The sequence below is a fragment of the Homo sapiens genome, chromosome X (genome assembly GCF_000001405.40).
Source record: "Homo sapiens chromosome X, GRCh38.p14 Primary Assembly".
NCBI classification, from domain to species: Eukaryota; Metazoa; Chordata; class Mammalia; order Primates; family Hominidae; genus Homo; species Homo sapiens.
The window spans coordinates 9,801,890-9,820,539 of NC_000023.11; the positions used below are offsets into that span (position 1 = coordinate 9,801,890).

Sequence of the window (18,650 nt, forward strand, 5' to 3'; positions counted from 1 at the left end):
AGGCTGCGGTGAGCTGTGATTGTGCCACTACACGCCAGCCTGGGTGACAGAGTAAGAAACACCCTGTCTCAAAAAATAAAAATTAAAAATAAAAATAAAATTAATTTGACATATTCCTTTTTACTCTTTGAAATGTAGCTCCTAACCAATTTGAAGGTAGATGTGTGGTGCTCTTAGTCTGTTGGACAGCTCCGTTTTAGCCTTTTTTTTTTTCTTTTTTTAAAAGAGATGGGGTCTTAAGCTATGTTGCCCAGGCTGGACTTGAGCTCCCGGGCTCAAGTGATCTTCCCACCTCGGCCTCCTGATGCCATTGGCACTACAGTCGTGCCTCACCATGCCCAGCTCGCTGCAGACTCTTGTTAGGCAAAGTGTGGTTTTTAGGTCAGCATATCCGCATCACCTGGGAGCTCGTTAGAACTGCAGAATCTCAGCCCCTGCCCCATACCTGCTGAATCAGAACCCATATTTTAACAACGTGATTCAGTCACATGGTAAAAAGTTTGCTGAGTGCTGCTTTAGAGAATGATTTGCTGGTCTCCCAGCATCCTCTGTTATTTGAGGCTTTGCAGAGGTTCTGAGACATTCACAGTTTTGTGGAAGGCTTTGCTCAGAATACATCACCCAGGCGAAGTGGCCCTAACTGTCCATCCCCAGTCATGTGGAATGCCCTCGGTGGCCCTCTGTAATCATTGGTCTTGCAGCATCCTCAAGCCTACTTGACCCGGGAGGTCCCTGAGAGTGGGGACTGGCTCTGTTTCATTGCTGGTATCGCGGGCATATTGCCTGGCATGTAATAGATCCTCAAATATTAAAGTCCTTTAAACACAGCTTACACGTAGCCTTGAGATGGGATGAACGACTGCACATTGTTACACTGTTCTGAGCACCGTTAGGTCCTTTGTCCCCTTCCTTTTTATGAGGACCATCTAAGACAAGGTAACTTGGGCTGAGAGTGATCTGTCTGGATCATGCAGGTCGTACATGGAGTCAGGATCCCTGAAGTCTCCATCTGGGTGACATCACAGCTGCAGATTTCTTTTTTTTTTTTTTTTTAAATGAAACAGCATCTTGCTGTGTCACCCAGGCTGGAGTGCAGTGGCGTGATCACAGTTCCCTGCAGCCTTGACCTCCTGGGCTCAAGCAATCCTCCTGCCTTAGCCCCCTGAGTAGCTGGGACCACAGGCACACACCACCCCAACTTCTGACTTGGTTTTTTGTTTTTTTTTTTTTGTGGAGATGGGGGTCTTACTATGTTGCCCAGGTTGGTCTTGAACTCCTGAGCTCAAGCAGTCCTCCTGCCTCAGCCTCCCAAAGTGCTGGGATTACAGTTGGGAGCCACCACCCCTGGTAGCATCCCAGCTCTTTCTCCCTCTTTACCTCCTTGCTAAACAAGACACTCAAGCCTATCTTACTGTGTAAGCCACATGAGCCATACAAAGACTTCTTAAAAATAATTTTTTAAAAATTTGTAGGCTGAAAAGATTTTAGATTTTTTTTTCTAAAACAGAAATGCACACAGCAGCCTTGCTTTGCGGTAACCCTTGGTTCCATGGGTATGGGACTGGCTCAGGTGCCAGAGGCTGGGTGGAGAGGCAGGCCTCCATGCTGTCTCTTTGGTGCCTGCCCCCAGGACTCCAGAGAAGGGTGCCCGGCGCTTTTCCCACCCGATGGTGCTCCGTGCCTCCTGTCAGGAAGAAAGCAGAACTGACTGCCACACACTACCAGATTCAGGAGCCTCTCCTGTCTTCCTGGGAAGGTGGTTTTGATGAGGTACTGATGAACTTGGGCCTGGTTTTTACAAAATGAACATAGCCATCAGTTGTGACATTGCACACAGCCAACTCTTAGGAGGGGCCGCCATCACAGACCACCTCCGGACACAGAAGTCAGGATTTTAGGGTTTTCTCCTGTGCATGCAGTATACTCCATGGGCATACAAGGGAAAAGCAGTGCTGGTGAGAATCTGCCAGCACTGTTGGGCAGCACGGGTTCTCGACAGGTATTGTTTTATGTGCGTGTGGTGGATATAAGGACCACCAACCAGTCTCGATAACAAATCTAGCCGTTTAAACATCCACAGACATTTTAACGGTCCTAATCTGTGGTCACTCACAGTGTCTGGCCTTGGGAAGATGGACTGGGTGGGTTAAGGAAGGCCCACTGGGTTAACTAGATCGTGCCCGGGTTGGGAGGATGGCACGTTAAATTCTGTGGTGTCTGATGTCTCTTTCTGTTAGCTCCCCGTCTTCCTTTGACAACTCCCCAGTGGATGAGGTCTTTGGAGAGGTGGAGGCTGAAGGAGCATGGCTCATGGTGCAGCAGGAGGTGGTGTGTGACTTAACACTCCTTCCCAGGACTCTGAGTCTCAAGCAGGGCAAGGCTGGGTGCAGTCAGCTCTGTGGCCTGCTGTGGCTGATGGGCCGGGGCCCAGAGACAACAGCTTGGATGCAACGGTCTACAAGCCCAGCCTCCCCAGGCTCCTTGTCTCTGGCTCATTTCTGACCCTTTACCTAAGACTTTCAACAATCCTTACATTCCTGGTAGCATCTTAGTGAATCACCCTTTCGCTTAGATATAGGAATTCATTTCCGTTGCTTGCAACCAAGAAAACCATAGCCTGAAACAGCCTAGTAGGAAGCCTGCAGACCTGAGATCAGTGGGACCTTACCACTTTGTTATTTGTGGCCCTCTGGAAACGTGCCATCTGACCCACTGCAAGGAAGAGTCTCTGCTTCAGAAGGTCAGAGGAGCGGCATCCTGAGACTGGCTGTGGTGAGCTGGTGGGTGCAGCTGTCTCCTGCACACTGACCTGGGTGGCTGTCCCCAGACCTCTGAAAATTGGGAGGAACCAGGGTTTCCTTTTACTTTACCCTCACCAGCACTGCCCAGTCTGGAGCCCTGGAGGGTGGAACGTTGTAGGAATGACTCCTGGGCTCTGTAGAACCCCTACTGTATGCCAGCAGCTTTGCATTATGCCGTGAGTTCCTGGGCTCTGGGAACTGCTGTTGTCCCGTGTCACCAAGTCACATGGCATTGGAGTGGTGCAGTCAGAATCCACATAGCAGCCAGGCACAGTGGCTCATATCTGTAATCCCAGCACTTTGGGAGGCTGAGGTGGGTGGATCATTTGAGGTCAGGAGTTCGAGACGAGCTTGCTTGGCCAACATGGTGAGACCCTCATGTCTACTAAAAAAAAAAAAAATACAAAAGTTAGCCAGGAGTGGTGGTGTGTGCCTGTAATCTCACTCCGGAGGCTGAGGTAGAAGAATTGCTTGAACCTGGGAGACGGAGGTTGCAGTGAGCCGAGATCGCACCACTGCTCTCCAGCCTGGGCGACAGAGCGAGACTGTCTCAAAAAATAAAAAATAAAAAAATAAAAGAATCCAAGTAGCATCTGCCAAATCTCCACTGTGCTCCAGGCACTGTTCAACTTTATGTGAACTTCACAGTGGTTCTGTGGGGTAGGTTTATACAGTTGTTATTGGTGCTATGATCTGAATATTTCTGTCCCCCCAAAATTCCGGTGTTGAAATCCTAACCCACAAGGTGATGGTATTAGGAGGTGGGGGCCGGGTGTGGTGGCTCACGCCTGTAATCCCACTTTGTGGGGCTGAGGTGGGCAGATCACTTGAGGTCAGGAGTTTGAGACCAGCCTGGCCAACATGGTGAAACCCTGTCTCTACTAAAGATTAAAAAATTAGCCGGGCATGGTTGGCAAGTGCCTGTAATCCCAGCTGCTCGGGAGGCTGAGGCAGAATGTAGGGCTGATACTGGAGTTGGGTCTTCTATAGCGGAGGGAAGTCAGGGATGGAGGCCAAGATGGGCTGATTTTCCTGCTGCTGCTAAAAGGAAACCAATTAATGGGAGAAGACTTGAGTTGGGACTTAAGGAGAGTATCTGTTGTGGTTCTCACGAGTTGGAGTGGCATCGCTTGAACCTGGGAGGCGGAGGTTGCAGTGAGCTGAGATCACGCCGTTGCACTCCAGCCTGGGTGACAGAGTGAAACTGTGTCTCAAAAAAAAAAAAAAAACAAAAACAAGAGGTGGGGTCTTTGGGAGGTGATTAGGAATGGGGTCAGTGCCCTTATAAAAGAGACTCAGGTAGTTCTTCCTCCCTTCCATCCTGTGAGGACACAGTGAGAAGGCGCCTCCTACAAACCAGGAAGTAGGTCCACAGCAGACACTGAATCCGCCATGTCTTGACCTTGGACTCCCAGCCTCCAGAGCTATGAGCAATACATTTCTGCTGTTTTTGAGCCTCCTAGCCTGTGGTGTTTTGTTACAGCATCTTGAACTAAGACAGTTAGTGAGGAGCGTTAGGCTTAGAGAGGTTGAGAAACCTGCCCGTGGTTATGGCAGGGCCAGTCTCTTCACTCGCACAGCAGGCACATCGCTGGGGCCCATGAACATGTTCTAGTTTTCACAAGAAGAAAATGAACTTTTAGGTCCCCAAAAATGTTTCGAGATAACATTTCAATATTTAATGATTTACTATATAATATTAATATATATAAAATAATCAAATACATCAAGTTAAACAGATTAATTGAAATACATTAATGATCTAGATTGTGTGTATATATATATGTATGTATATATATGTGTATATATATGTGTGTGTATATATATATATATCTGTCTCCTTGTGCCAGCACAATCATCACATGCAACTTTAATCCTTTTTTTTTTTTTTTGAGACAGAGTCTCACTCTGTCGCCCAGGCTGGAGTGCAGTGGCACTATCCGGGCTCACTGCAACCTCCAGTGTATATATATGTGTGTGTATATATATATATCTGTCTCCTTGTGCCAGCACAATCATCACATGCAACTTTAATCCTTTTTTTTTTTTTTGAGACAGAGTCTCACTCTGTCGCCCAGGCTGGAGTGCAGTGGCACTATCCGGGCTCACTGCAACCTCCACCTCCCGGGTTCAAGCAATTCTCATGCTTCAGCCTCCCAAGTAGCTGGGATTACAAGCCTGCGCCACCATACCTGGCTAATTTTTGTATTTTTAGTCGAGCTGGGCTTTCACCATGTTAGCCAGGCTGTTCTCCAACTCCTGGGCTCAAGGTATCCTCCTGCATTGGCCTCCCAAAGTGCTGGGATTACAGGCGTGAGCCACCACGCCTGGCCCAACTTTAATCCTTTTTTATGGAGATGGGGTCTAGGGAAGGCCTGCCGGGCCCTGGGTCGCAGCTGGCAAGTGAAGGGGTTGGGTTCCCACCCATTCTGTCTGGATTCAGGAGCCTCATGAAGGTCCCTGCCTCGAGTATGTCTGAGCCTGGATGATCCCCCAGCAGGGTCACAGCCAGCCCCGTCGCCATGCCTAGCGCATAACAGATGCTCAGTAGATGTTTGGTAGGTGCAGGAAAGCCAGCCTGTGAAAGGGCGCTCATCCTTCCTGCATTCAAGCATCAAGCCTGGTCATTCTGCTGCTTTGTTTCAGGCGTGCGAGTTTGGGGGCAAATGTCAGAGTGTCCCCAGGAGCAAGCAGGTTGCACAGGGGGCTGTTTCCATGAGCCTGGGCTGAGGGGACCTGTTGGGAGGCCGGCAGCCCTGGGAGACAGGAACAGGCTTCAGGTGTTTCTAAGGATCAAGGCCTTGGCGTATTGCAAAGACATTACAAAATCAGGCTTCCAGAGGCCTCATAGCAACAGGCGTGTCACATAGCCTGTGCTGTGCCACGGAAATAAAACCCGAGTTCAGGACTGCATGCTGCCTGCTGGTCTAGGCCGTAAAAAAAGCTGTCCATGCCCCAACAAAAAAGTAAAGCAGAGAAATTAGACTCCTGAGATTAATTTGCTTTTCTTTCCTGTTTTCCACATTGCTTGTAGCAAGGTGATGCTTTTCTGTGAAAAGGCATTTCTCACTGTCTAAAGGGAGCCCTTCTGTGATCCTCCCTGAGAGCAGCCCTTCTGAGTGTCCTTTCCTGCCCGCCCTAGGCTGCCAGGCTCCTGCTGCTAACTTGACTGCTTCTGAAGTCTCTTTTTAAGGTTCAATGTCAAGGGGAGGTCAGAGAGGGGCGTGGTTCAGCAGGAAAAGAGGAAGAGAGCCTGACTTGTGACCATCCTGGGTGCCAGGCACACCTGAGCACATGCAGCCCCGAGCTTTTGGCCTGGACAAGCCCAGGCCTGGCACCGCAGGGAGAACTGGTCTGTGGATTGTCTCCACAGCCTGATTTCCTCCCAGACTTTGCCCCGCTTGGAGCATTCCGATCTCCGGTGTTTGAGGGTTTCATCCAGTAAATACGGTAGTACTTCACCCTCTCAGATTAAAGGTGTGCTGTGCAGCCTGGGAGTTCCTTTACTTGGGGGTGGTCGGGGAGGCTGAAGGAAGCCTTCCTGCACTTCTTTTTTCTTGAGTTTTTTAATTATTAAAAATGGAGACTGTGCGCTGTGGCTCACACCTGTAATCCCAGTGCTTTGGGAGGATCACTGGAGCCCAGGAGTTCGAGACCAGACTGGGCAATATAGTGAGACTCTGTCTCTACAAAAAAAAAAAAAAAAATTAGCCAGGTGTGGTGGTGCACACCTATAGTCCCACCTACTTGGGAGCCTGAGGCTGGAGGATTTGGCTTGAGTCAGAGAGTTGGAGGCTGCAGTGAGCTATCATTACGGCACTGTACTCCAGCCTAGGTGACAGAGTGAGACCCTGTCTCAAAAAATTTTTTTAAAATAAGTGGATATAATGGTTGGGCGCAGTGGTTCACGCCTGTAATCCCAGCACTTTGGGAGGCCAAGGTGGGTGGATCACCTGAGGTCAGGAGTTCGAGACCAGCCTGGCCAACGTGGTGAAACCCTGTCTCCACTAAAAATACAAAAATTAGCCAGGCGTGGTATCAGGCGCCTATAATCCCAGCTACTCGGGAGGCTGAGGCAAGAGAATCGCTTGAACCTGGGAAGCGGAGGTTGCAGTGAGCCAAGTTCGCGCCATTGCACTCCAGCCTGGGGGACAAGAGTGAACTTCGTCTCAAAAAAAAAATAATAAAAATAAATGGATGTAATTCACATGTCACAAAATTCGCCATGTTAAAGGGTACAGTTTAGTGGTATTTTTTCTGTATATTCACTGACTTGTGCAATCATCACTTTAATTCCAGAACATTTTTATCACCCCAAAAAAGAATCCCTACATCCATTAGTACTCCCTCCCCTTTCCCTCCCTTCCCCCAAATCCCACCCCCACACTGATCTGCTTTCTCTTATTAGTCAGGGTTCTCTAGAGAGACAGAACTAATAGGAAATATATATGAAGAGGAGTTTATTAAGTATTAACTCACATGATCACAATGTCCCACAGTAGGCCATCTGCAAGCTGAGGAGCAAGGAGAGCCAGTCCGAGTCCCAAAACTGAAGAACCTGGAGTCTGATGTTTGAGGCCAGGAAGCATCCAGCACGGGAGAAAGATGTAGGCTAGACCAGTCTCTCCTTTTCACGCCTTTTTGTCTGCTTTAGATTAGATGGTGCCCACCAGATTGAGGGCAGATCTGCCTTCCCCAGCCCACTGACTCAAATGTTAATCTCTTTTGGCAACACCCTCACAGACACACCCAGGATCAATACTTGGTATTCTTCAATCCAATCAAGTTGACACTCAGTATTAACCATCACAAGTCCACCCCTTGTCAATGTGAGATCGTACATAATCTTCAAGTAAAGACAATGGTAAGGTCATAATTACGCCTAACATGCAACTATCCTTTGTATAACCAGAAATGCATCATTCCCCAACCCAAATACTATTACATAAAGCTGATAATACTTAAATGCTGATATGAAGTCAATAAATCTTTTTTTGAGACAGAGTCTCGCTCTGTTGCCCAGGCTGGAGTGCAGTGGCACGATCTCAGCTCACTGCAACCTCTGCCTCCTGGGTTCAAGCGATTCTCCTGCCTCAGCCTCCCGAGTAGCTGGGACTACAGGCGTGCACCACGATGCCAGCCAATTTTTTTGTGTGTGTGTTTTTAGTAGAGACGGGGTTTCACCATGTTTTCCAGGCTGGTCTCGAACTCCTGACCTCAAGTGATCCACCTGCCTTGGCCTCCCAAAGTGCTGGGATTACAGGCGTGAGTCACTGCGCCCAGCCTGAAGTCAATAAATCTTATGTCACACGATAAGGGAAAAGAAAAGAAAATAAAGATATTTTCCTAGCACTAGTACAAGTGTATACATGCGCAAACATGGTTTTAGCAAAAGGAGGAGGAAATACTCATGACAATTGCAGTCCCCATGTCTGCAGCTGGTCACATGGTTGTAGCTGGTACTGATGACTACCCTCTTCTACTACCCATTCTGTATTCCCTTTGCCTTCAGCAAGCACCTTAGCTGGTTGTGTGTTTTTTTTTGCCTGGTGGAGTGACCCAAACCTTCATTCCTGAAGGGTCTGGGTCATTTGTAGTCCGGCCTGGATTGGGCTGTTGTAGTGTCCCCTTGACCTTAATCACAGGGCATGGTAATACTAAGAGACGCCCTAATGGGTCTCCTGTATTGCATGCATACTCTTCCCTAGTTCCATTGCGGAGTAGTAGACTGATTTTATCTGATAGTCTGGGTCAGTCACCCCAGCCAACACTGTAACTCCCTTCTTAGCCTGTTGACTTAAAGGTAGGAGGAGCCCAAAGCACCCAGGTGGCAATCTGAACTTCCAGTTTAATGGAATCATTGTTGTGTCTCCTGGTGGCAGCGTTCCTCCCTCTGGAACTAAGACCCCCTAGGCCAGCAGAACGTAATGTTGCAGGAACAGGAAGCAAAAATTTTGCTAGTGGATCACTAGGGGTGATGGTGAGTTTTGCCACTTCTACTTGCACCCCTTGATTTCTGGACTCGTGAATCCTGGCTATGGGAGAAACAGTACCATATATTGGGCGCTGATTCAGAGCATACATGGCCTTCTGAAGAACTTTGCCCCAGCCCTGCAAAGTATTGTCACCTAATTGGTGTTATAATTGTGACTTCAAAAGGCCATTCCACCGTTCTATTAATCCAGCTGCTTCAGGATGAAGGGGAACATGGTAAGACCAGTGAATTCCATGAGCATGAACCCACTGCCACACTTCTTTAGCTATGAAATGAGTGCCTTAGAGGCGATGCTGTGTGGAATACCATGATGGTGGATAAGGCATTCCGTGAGTCCACAGATGGTAGTCTTGGCAGAAGCATCGCGTGCAGGATAGGCAAACCCATATCTGGAGTAAGTGTCTATTCCAGTGAGGACAACCCTCTGCCCTTGCCATGATGGAAGAGGTCCAGTATAATCAACCTGCCACCAGGTAGCTGGCTGATCACCCTGAGGAATGGTGCCATATCAAGGGCTCAGTGTTGGTCTCTGCTGCTGGCAAATTGGGTACCCAGCAGTGGCCATAGCCAGGTCAGCCTTGGTGAGTGGAAGTCCATGTTGCTGAGTCCATGTGTAACCTCCGTCCCTGCCACCATGGCCACTTTGTTCATGGGCCCATTGGGCGATGACGGGTGGCTGGGAAAAGAGGCTGAGTGGTGTCCACAGAAAGGGTCATCCTATCCAGTTGATTATTAAAATCCTACTCTACTGAGGTCACCTGTTGGTGAGCACTCACATGGGATACAAATATCTTCACAGTTTTTGACCACTCAGAGAGGTCCATCCACATACCTCATCCCCGAATTTCTTTGTCACCAATTTTCCAATCATGCTTCTTCCCGTGAATTCAGCCCATGAATCAGTATATAATCACACATCTGGCCATTTCTCTGTCCATGCAAAGTGCACAACCAGGTGCACTGCTCCAAGTTCTGCCCACTGGAAAGATTTCCCTTCACCGCTGTCCTTCGGGGTGTCGTAGAAAGGGGCTGTAGTGGTGCCACTCTCTATTTTGGGGTGGTGTCTGCATATCATGCAGAACTGTCTGTGAACCAGACCCTAGTCTTCTCTTCCTCTGTCAGCTGATCATAGGGAACTCCCCATGAGACTATTGGTGCAGGCTGGGGGAGAGAAGACAGGGTGGCAGAGTGGAGACCATGGGCATTTGAGCCATTTCCTCATGTAACTTACTTGTGCCTTCAGGACCTGCTTGAGCCCGATCACGTATATACCACTTCCATTTGATGATGGAATGCTGCTGTGCACACCCAGCTTTATGGCTAGATGGGCCAGAAAGCATCCAGTTCATGATAGGTAGTTCAGGTCGCATGGTGACTTGATGACCCATAGTCAAATGTTCAGTTTCTGCCAAAGCCCAGTAACAGGCCAAGAGCTTTATCTCAAAAGGAGAGTAGTTGTCTGCAGAAGATGGCAGGGCCTTGCTCCAAAATCCTAGAGGCCTCCACTGTGATTCACTTATGGGGGCCTGCCAAAGGCTCCAAACAGCATCCTTATCTGCCACTCTCACCTCAGGCACCATTGGATCATACGGCCCAAGTGGCAGAGCAGCTTGCACAGCAGCCTGGACCTGTTGCAGAGCCTTCTCCAGTTCTGGACCCCATTCAAAACTGGCAGCCTTTCGGGTCACTCGATAAATGGGTTGGAGTAACACACCCAAATGAGGTGTTGCCTCCAAAATCCAAATAGGCCCACTAAGCGTTGTTGTGCCTCTTTCTTGCTTGTAGGAGAGGCCAAATGCAGCAACTTATTCTTCACCTTGGAATATCTCGACAGGCCCCATACCATTGGACCCCTAGAAATTTTACTGAGGTAGAAGGTCCGTGAATTTTAGTCAGATTTATTTCCCATCCTCTGGCACGCAAATGTCTCACCAATAAGTCCAGTGTGTTTGCTACTTCTTGTTCACTGGATCCAATTGGTATAATATCATCAATGCAGTGGACCAGTGTGATGTCTTAGGGAAGCGAAAAGCAATCAAGGTCTCTCTGAACAAGATTATGACACAAAGCTGGAGAGGTGATATACCACTGAGGTAGGACAGTAAAGGTATATTGCTGCTGAAGACAAATTGCTTCTGGTGGGCCTTGTGGACAGGAATGGAGAAAAAGGCATTTGCCAAGTCAATGGCCGCATACCAGGTACCAGGAGATGTGTTAGTTTGCTCAAGCAGTGAAACCACATCTGGTACAGCAGCTGCAACTGAAATCACCACTTGGTGAAGCTTACGATAATCCAGTGTCATTCTCCAAGATCCATCTGTCTTCTGCACGGGCTAAATGGGAGAGTTGAACGGGGATGTGGTGGGAATCACCACCCGTGTGTCTTTCAAGTCCTTGATGGTGACATTAATTTCTGCAATCCTTCTGGGGATGTGACATTGTTTTTGATTTACTCTTTTTCTAGGTAGAGGCAGCTCTAATGGCTTCCACTGGGCCTTTCCCACCATAGTAGCCCTCGCCCTACCAGTCAGGGAGCCAATGTGGGGGTTCTGCCAGCTGCTGAGTATGTCTATGCCAATTATGCATTCTGGCACTGGGGAAATGACCACAGGATGAGTCTGGGGACCCACTGTAAGTCGGACCTGAGCTAAAACTCCATTAATTACCATACCTCCATAAGCCCCTACTTCAACTGGAGGACCACAGTGACGTTTTGGCTCCCTTGGAATCAACGTCAGCTCAGAGCCAGTGTCCAGTAGTCCCCAAAATGTCTGATCATTTCCCTTTCCCCAATGCACAGTTACCCTGGCTAAAGTCCAGAGGTCTCATTGGGGAAGGATGGGAGAAAGAGTCACCACATAAATTGTTCGTAATGTAGTGGGGTCCTTCCTCAAGGGGACCTGGCCTCCTCTTCATTCAAGGGATTCTGGGTCTGTAAACTGGCTCAAGTCTGGAAATTGATTGAGGGGCTGTGATTCTCTGTTTTTATAATTCAAATTAGTCTTTTGTCCATTCGACCCAGAAGTTTTCTGCTTATATAAATTCAGTAGGAAGGCAGTAGGCTTCCTATCGATTTCCCTTCTAGGAACACCATGATTAATTAGCCAGTGCCAGAGCTGTACACGAGTCAGACTATTCTGATTGCCGCTTTGCCTCTGCTGTCCATTATGGTAGCTACGCACACCTTGCCTTTGACGGTTGAGTGTCATCACTTGGCTCCTGCCACCTCGGGATCCAATTATTCCCATCATATTTAAATTTTGTAGTTGCGTGACTGCAGTTCCCACCATTAGATCTGACATACAGGGAAGAACAATTACAGGGCTCTTCAAAGATGCAGGTGCTGCCCTCACGAATCTATTTTGCAAGGCATTGGTTAAGGGTATGTCTTCTGGACCCTCCCAGCTGGGATGAGTAGGTCTAAAGTGGCTAATCCACTCCACCATCCCAATCTCCCTAAGCCTTTGGATCCCTTCCTCTACATTAAACCAAGGGAGATCAGGCATTTCCAGCTCACTCCCAGTGGGCCATCTTTTAATCCATAGTTCAGCTAACCAAGCAAATAAACTCTTAGAACCTTTTTTTAACTCCCCAGCTGCAACATTAAAAGCAGAGTCCCTACTTAGTGGGCCCAAATCAATAAATTCAGCCTGATCCAACTCTGTGTTCTTTCCACCATTATCCCATACCCTTAATATCTATTCCCATGCCTGTTCTCCAAGATTTCTGTTTATATCAATTATAGAACTCAAATGGTTCTTTTCGAGTGTAGCGCACCTCCTCATGGGTCACATTCTCAACCTCACCTCTAGGGGCCTGCTGGGACTTTAGTGATAGGTCTAGAAGCAAACAGGGGTGTCGGGGGTGGCTCCTGAGAAGAATCAACATATTTTGCCTGGCAATTGCCTCAGGGGAGGCCATCACTGTTGCCTCAGGCAGCACAGGGTTTATCTCCTCAGACAAAGGTGGAAAGGCTGATGGCAGCCATGGGTCAGGGAAGGGATGTTGCCATTACAGGGGATGGGGAAGCTGTTCCTTCTGGCAAAAAAGGTTCATCGGAGTTTACAAACTCAGTGTCCCCAGCTTCATCAGGGTTCTCCCTCACCGTCCCCATTCCAAGTTGCAGGGTCCTATTCTTTTCGAATCAATGCCCTCACTTTAACAGTAGACACCTGGCGAGGCTGTGCATGCATCTTTCATTGAAGGTCAGCCCCTCGCATGATAAGAGCATGTGTCTGTTTTTCCACAATTTCAGCTCTTTCTCTACAGGAGATAAGACTCTCACTCAGGGCAATCTTAGCAGATTTGAGGCTCAGTATCTGCTTTTGAAGCCGGGAGACAGAATCCCCAAGTTCATCATTTTCTTTCATCACTTTGCCCACTGAACTTAGGAGCAACCAACCAACTTCATTATATTCCTTGGTTTTCCACATATGGTCAAAGGTATTATGTATAGAGTCACTAAACTCCTTGCCTCTCATGAGCAGTGAATCAGGAGTGTCAAATGCATTTATTTTGCATAACTCTCTAAATGGTTTATGCCAAGGACTATCAGTGTTCTCCATACTATGAGAAGTGGAGTCCTTAGCATTTTGGAGTCTAATCATATTAAGCAGGCAACTCCAGAAACCTCAACCCACAAAAGAACTTCATCCTTAATATTCTGTTCCTCTAGAACCACTCTTTGTACCAAAATCTGTATTAGGGTTCTCTAGAGTGACAGAACTAATAGGATAGATATACATATTATGTGTGTGTGTGTGTGTGTGTGTGTGTGTGTGTGTGTGTGTGTGTGTATATAATATCTCCTATATATCTCATATGTATATATCATATATAGAGATCCATTATATATATATATCCTATATCTATCCTATATCTATATCCTATATCTATATCTATATCTATATCTATATCTATAAAGGGGAGTTTATTAAGTATTACATCCCACAATCACAAGGTCCCACAGTAGGCCATCTGCAAGCTGAGGAGCAAGGAGAGCTGGTCCGAGTCCCAAAACTGAAGAACTTGGAGTCTGATGTTCGAGGGCAGAAGCATCCAGCATGGGAGAAAGATGTAGGCTGGGAGGCTAGACCAGTCTCTCCTTTTCACGTCTTTCTGTCTGCTTAATATTTGCTGACAGCTGATTAGATTGTGCCCACCAGATTAAGGGTGGATCTGCCTTCCCCAGCCCACTGACTCAAATGTAATCTCTTTTGGCAACACCCTCACAGACACACCCAGGATCAGTAGTTTGTATCCTTCGATCCAGTCAAGTTGACACTCAGTATTAACCATCACAGTTACTATGTACGGATTTGCCTATTCTGGACATTTCATGTCAGTGGGATCGTAGAATATGTGGTCATTTGTGTCTGGTTTATCTCAGTATAATGTTTGGAGATTCATCCATGTTGTAGTGTGTATCAGTCATTCCTTTTCATGTCTGAATGCTATTGTCCTATGGGAATGGACTGCGTTTTGTTCATATCCTTTGATGGACATGTGGGTGGTTCTCCTTTGTGATTCTTGTAAATAATGCTGCTGTGTGGACAAGTTTTCAATTCTCCTGAGTATTTTCCTTGTGTTTCAAGCTTTTTAACCTCAGTGCCCCAGGCATAGCGCTTGTGATTTCCTGAGCACATGGGTGGCGCATCCCTGATGAATCAAAAGAATAGGATTGGTCATTTTGGCTTCACGGCTGTTGAAGCAAAATTAAAACTCACAATTTCAAAGGTCATAGGATTTTTGTCCTGACCCCGGTGGGTGTGGGCCCCTGCAGGGCTCCGACAGAGGTGGTCAGCATGTCTGCTGAGCCTTCAGGAAGACATGCCTGGTCACCGGCATCCTTGTGGTCCTTGTGGTGGCAGTTTGTGGTTAGCTCAGCCTTACCCCCTGCTGCTGCTGCTGCTGCTGCTGCTGCTGCTACTTTCTGAGCAGGAGCATGGGAGTCTTTCACCCTCCCTGCGAAGTGGACATGGGGTTGATTCTGGGGTTCAGACAGCGAGCGGGGTCCCTGTAGCCCAAGGGTGATAGTGCTCGGGACGGTGTCCCCCCTTAGACATGAGCTGCTCTCTTGTCATTTCCCACTCCTTCACTTCCCAGCAACAACACAGCTTCAGACCAAAATCAAAACCTTCACCTCTTCATCATTTCTGGTTATATTTCAGAAACCCGTGCTATAGGGGGATCCCTCAACAAACTTAAATTTTCCAGATTTAGGGGACATTGGCAGTATCTTCATCATAACATTGTAGGGTTTGTAAGGTTTTCTGTTGAATATTTTTCTTTTTCTTTTTTTTAAGAGACGTTGTCCTGCTCTGTTGCCCAAGCTGGAGTGCAGTGGTGTGACCTTGCCTCACTGCAGCCTTCAATTCCTGGGCTCAAGTGATCCTCCTACCTCAGCCTCCTGAGTAGGTGGGACTACAGGCACCCGTCACCCATGCCCAGCTAATTTCTGTATTTTTTGTAGAGACAGGATTTCACGATGTTGGCCAGGCTGGTCTCAAACCCCTGACCTCAAGTGATCCACCCACCTCGGCCTCCCAAAGTGCTGAGATTATAGGTGTGAGCCACCACACCCAACCTCCCTCTAACTTTTTTTTTTTTTTTCAGTATGTCTAAACATTTTGGAATTGTAATTTAAATCATAAGGGCAAAAGCTGAAAATTAATGCTTAGGTTTACTAGTAAGTGCACCCTTCCCTGTTTCCCCCAAATAAAATCAGTTTATTTTTTAATTGTACCCCAAAGCAAGTTCTCTCAGTACGAAGCAACTACTGCGTACACACAAAATGGTTGTTAATGTAATAACTTCCCTGGCTCACCCAACGTGCAGTGCACACGACTTCAAAGACTACAATTTAGGGCAAGTATACATGAAATGAGAAAACAACTCTCTAAGTTTCAAAACCTGCTGTTAAATTATTTCTAGGACACTCAGGTCATATTTACTTCTCAGTAGGATGTTGCACTGTCATTTGGTTATCAGTCTACCTCGCAGTGTACATTACCAGATGCCAATTGGAGGGACTAGAGATAAAACTTATGTAGTACTATTTCTTAATGGGCTGAATAAGGTAATTACAAATAAGTTTGCCTTACATCCTGTTGAAGACCTCTTTACAGCCTCAGTACCTAACAATATCTAGCAGCCTCCAAGAATGCTCATCAGGTGAAACGATGATGTAACATTTGAAAATGGAGCCAGATACTTCAGCTTAAGTCATTCAGAGCCAAATATCTGAAGAATGGCCAAAATCAAATCTTTATTTTTATAACTGTATAAATGTGATCCAAATGTGTCCACCACCAGTTTTTCAAAAAGAAACATGCTATAAATAAGCAAACTACATCTGCTCACTGATGTGTGTATGGACTCCCTGGATGTCTCATTGAGCTTAATTACAGACCACTCACAGTAATGGATTTTTAGTGTATAGTGTAGCTTGATGTTAAGCCATTTTAGCTTTTGCGCATACATGTTGTGCTGGCTGGTAACGGAGAAGAATTTGCAGCATTACAATGTTAAGCTAGGTTGTATCCATCCCATTAAATGGCATCAATATCAATGTCATCATCCTTGTTGTTGGACTTTACAGTTTCAACTTTAGGTACACTGGCAGTCTTCTAATACACCACCTCAATGTTCTCATCTTCATCTTCTTCACCACCAGAAGATTCTTCCTCTGCCTCCATTTTATAAATGGTTCTACTTTGACACGAATCTCTTTGGCAGGTTCTTTTGAGACATGTTTCTTAAAGGCCTTTTTCCGACCAGCTGATGACGACCTCTTCTTCTAAAAAATCTACATCATACATCTCCTTCAAGATATTTGGAATCTTAGAGATAAGCTGAGCTTGGTGCATTGCTACCCCACACGTAAAGCCATGAAGAAGGTACCATTGAGCTTTTTTGTTGTTGTGACAAAATCATAAGAAATGGTGCCTGTATTTCTTATGTGTTCTCTAATCTCCTCTTTAAAAAGAACTTCAGTCAGAACAAGAGGGCCCATGGCTTTAACATCCAGTCCTTCTGCTTCAGTAACAATTTCTTTGTCACATAAATCAATGATACCCTCTTCTTTCTTTTTCTTCACAAAATCAAACAGGATGTTGGCCCGCTCCTCAACTGTTTTTTCCAAATCATCATGGAGTATCAGAACTTTTGCATGATCACTGATTTCATCCATTCTGCACCTTTGAGCTTCCTCAGTTGTATCTTCCCCCCAGTCATCCTCCTCTTCTTCCACTGTATGTGGAGGAGGGCTAATTTCTTTGGTGGTGGTGTCTCACTGCTGGATACGGAGCCATTTTCCTTGTCTTTGCCCTTTATATTTTTCTTTTCCTTTTCTTTCTTTCCTGTACCACTGTCACTATTCTCAGGTGGGTTTTTGAGAATGAATGTGCAGAGTTTATGATGTGTGTCAAGCATGCCTCGATAGCCACAGGCTTTATAAGAATTACCTATTGTTTGCTGCTTTGGCTTGACATGCATATCTGTTTCAGGATTCTCACATTCAGGACAGAGAACAAATTTTTTAATGAGTCCATCCAATATGTCTTGCAGCTTATTGGCCTCCTGAGATCCATTCACAATGTAACAATGTATCCCACCAAAATACTTGGTGGGATACCTTGGAGGCCAATTAAGCGCCTTTGCAGTGTCAGTCATGTTGACTATAACTGTCTTGATTCCATTTCCTTTGCCCTCAACCTTGGCAATCAGACAGGGCATCTTGTAATAGAACTGGTCTGATATGCTGGGGTTGACGTTGACAGACATTTTGGCTTATTGGTGGCTTTATCAATAAGATGAAGAGATCTTTGATTGCAGCTTTTTTATATCTTCTGTCTGGAGAAGAAGGGATGACATAAACAACTGCAAAAGTTCTCGGTCTCTAATGTGAAAACATTTTCACCACTGAGGCTGTAAGCGTCTTGCTTGTATGCTATGTTTCCCCAATACAGGTACTAATGGCTGCGCAAAAGCTCTTCTGGTGAAGGCCTCCCTGCTCTCCCACGCTTGAAAAGCGCTGTCCTTCATGCTTCCCTGTCACCTTGCTCCTAGCAGGCATCACGTCGAGTCCACCCTGCCAGTTTATCTTTTTTTTTTTTTTTTTTTCTTGAGAGGGAGTCTCGCTCTGTTGCCCAGGCTGGATTGCAGTGGCGTGATCTTGGCTCACTGCAACTTCCGCCACCTGGGTTCAAGCGATTCTCCTGCCTCAGCCTCCTGAGTAGCTGGGACTACAGGCACCTGCCACCACACCCAGCTAATTTTTTTAATTTTTATTTTTAGTAGAGATGGGGTTTCACTATGTTGTCCAGGCTGGTCTTGAACTCCTGACCTCAAGTGATCTGCCTGCCTAGGCCTCCCAAAGTGTTGGGATTACAGGCATGAGCCACCGTGCCTGGCTCCCTCCACCTTTAAAATTTTTTTTTTTTTTCAGATTATGTTTTTCGAGCCTCAAGATTTATTTTATTGCAGTATTTTTTTTTTTTTTGTAAATATGAAGAGTTGTCCAGTAGAGTCTCATCATATGTCGACTGAAGCTGGCACCATCCTATGGCCCACAGAGGCTTCTGTAACTGGGTCTTCAACATGTGGCCCTCCCTCCATCCTTTCCCACCCTCTTTGCTCCAGCCACAGCCAGCTTCCAGCTTCTAGAAGCAGCCTGCATTCCTCCCCCACCCTTTTTTAAATAGAGTCTTGCTCTGTCACCCAGGCTGGAGTGCAGTGGTACAATCATAGCTCACTGCAGTCTTGAATTCCCGGGCTTAAGCAATCCTCCCACCTCAGCCCTCCCAAGTAGCTGGGACTACAGGTGCACCACCGTGCCCTGCTAATTAAAAAGG

General features: G+C 46.7%; 1 protein-coding gene and 1 pseudogene across 2 annotated transcripts in view; one reads left to right on the forward strand and one right to left on the reverse strand.

The window, feature by feature from the left end:
• SHROOM2 (shroom family member 2) overlaps window positions 1–18,650 on the forward strand; it is a 163,015-nt gene that overhangs the window by 15,461 nt on the left and 128,904 nt on the right. The gene's annotated exons all lie outside the window — the stretch shown is intronic.
• On the reverse strand, window positions 16,150–17,780 carry EIF5P1 (eukaryotic translation initiation factor 5 pseudogene 1; annotated as a pseudogene).